Source organism: Homo sapiens, chromosome 21 (assembly GCF_000001405.40).
Source record: "Homo sapiens chromosome 21, GRCh38.p14 Primary Assembly".
In the NCBI taxonomy this organism is placed as follows: domain Eukaryota; kingdom Metazoa; phylum Chordata; class Mammalia; order Primates; family Hominidae; genus Homo; species Homo sapiens.
The window spans coordinates 17,113,198-17,115,175 of NC_000021.9; the positions used below are offsets into that span (position 1 = coordinate 17,113,198).

General features: G+C 37.8%; 1 annotated feature.

The window, feature by feature from the left end:
- Positions 782-1,378: an enhancer, noted in NCBI's record as "NANOG hESC enhancer chr21:18486297-18486893 (GRCh37/hg19 assembly coordinates)". NCBI's record gives its function as "activates a minimal SCP1, AML or CMV promoter by ChIP-STARR-seq in primed H9 embryonic stem cells {active_cell/tissue: H9 hESC(primed)}" and the evidence as "EXISTENCE:reporter gene assay evidence [ECO:0000049][PMID:30033119]".

Consider the following 1,978-nt stretch of genomic DNA (forward strand, 5'->3'; position numbering starts at 1 on the left):
ATGGAAGTCTTTCAGAGGACTTAATTTTTAATAGCTATGCTATCAGATTCTCAGTCTTGGCATTAGGGCTAGGTGTTGGAACTTCCCATAAAGTGTTCTCATTATGGACTCTCTGCTCCATACCATAAAATGAAGATAAATAAATAAATATTTTTTAAAAGCATTTTCTAAATAAACACACTGGAGACTTTCGGAGAATGGAAGGTGGGAGGAGGGAGAGCATCAGTTAAAATGACCAATAGGTACTAGGCTTAATACTGGGGTGATGAAATAATCTGTAGAACAAACCTGTACTTGTAACAAATCTGCACTTGTACCCCTGAACTTAAAAGTTTTTTAAAAAAATTTCTAAATAAATGAAGTTTCTTTTTTCAGCAAATATTTTTTAATAAGATCACCACTGATAGACCCATTAAAATCATGCAATTTATACTCCTCTCTTCCTAGACTCTTAACTTACCTTGAAAATTAAGGCCACTGGAATGAAATAAAACCTATTAATGCCCCAGGAATCATTGCGCTTTGTAAGCCATTTGCCCCTCCGCTAACAGGTCCCACAATAGTGTAATCTGTGATATTGGAGTTTGTTTCTGCTTTCTGCCTTCTCCTCCTGTCTATTCAGAATAGCATCATACTTATATTAACTTTATTATATATTTGCTATTTACTTAGTTTACCAATCTAAAACTACATTCATTTGACATTTAAGGGGGGAAAATAATTTGCACAGTCCCTACAATTCCATCCAAACGTTTCACTTAATTAGCCTGTGCCCCAGGTATTAGATGTAGCAGTCAAGTCTGAAAAAAAATCAAATCAAGTAGGCTAAATGGAATGAATGTGTGAATTAACTTTAAAAATACCCTATTGCTGGAGGAGATGAAAAACAAAATGTATTGTTCTTTTGAATATACACGCCTTTTAAGAAAGTCGATGGCCTCTTTTAAAACAGCCTTAGAGAACTCTCAACCATCAGAGTCACAGGCATCCACATTTCTGGGATGGAAATCCATTCAGGGCTTCTGACATAGTATATGCAAGAAAAGCTCCTGCTTTCCAACTGTGATGCATCAAAGGAGGCTTTTCTACTCAGCTTGATGTTATAAATTCAAGTGAATAACAATAAACCAGAAGGTGGCTCTATGTTCCTTTTTTAATTCTAATTGTTGGGAAAATAGTCTAGATTATTAAAATCCCCAGAGAATGACTATACATCCTCCCCATATCACAGGACGCTGGCAGTCTAAGCTCTGATTTAAAGGTATTCCAGTAGCATGCTTTTGGATGTTTTGATTAGTGTTATCCAAATTAATATTACTTAAGAATAAAAATCACCAATCCATTAACAACAATTTTAAAAGATCAAAATCTGTGTGTCAGAATTAACCTGTGCAAACTCTGGATGCATCCTATGCTATTATTTACTATCCCTTTGAGTTTATGAATAAAAAGTTGCATTTTCAGAATTATTTATATCAAGGATCTCCCAATTATTGAAAAAACTGCATGTTCTTTTAAGAACACAAAAAGTAGGCCAGGCATGGCAGCTCACACCTGTAATCCCAGCACTTTGGGAGGCCGGGGTGGGTGGATCACCTGAGGTCAGGAGTTTGAGACCAGCCTGTCTAACATGGCAAAACTCCGTCTCTACTAAAAATACAAATTAGCCAGGCTTGGTGGCAGGCGCCTGTGATCCCAGATACTTGGGAGGCTGAGGCAGGAGAATCACTTGAACCTGGGAGACAGAGGTTGCAGTGAGCCGAGATTGTGCCATTGCACTCCAGCCTGGGCAACAAGGGGGAAACTCCATCTCCATCTGAGCCTCTGAATTAGAACAGAAGTACACATTCTTTTGCAGCCCAAATAAAAGGCATAATAAAATTTATGAGGGATGTAGAACAGCAAGAAACTCATGTGCATACATCAGAAGGAACATGGCCAGTCTTTAACAGCAACTTCAGACAGCGACCTGAGCAAG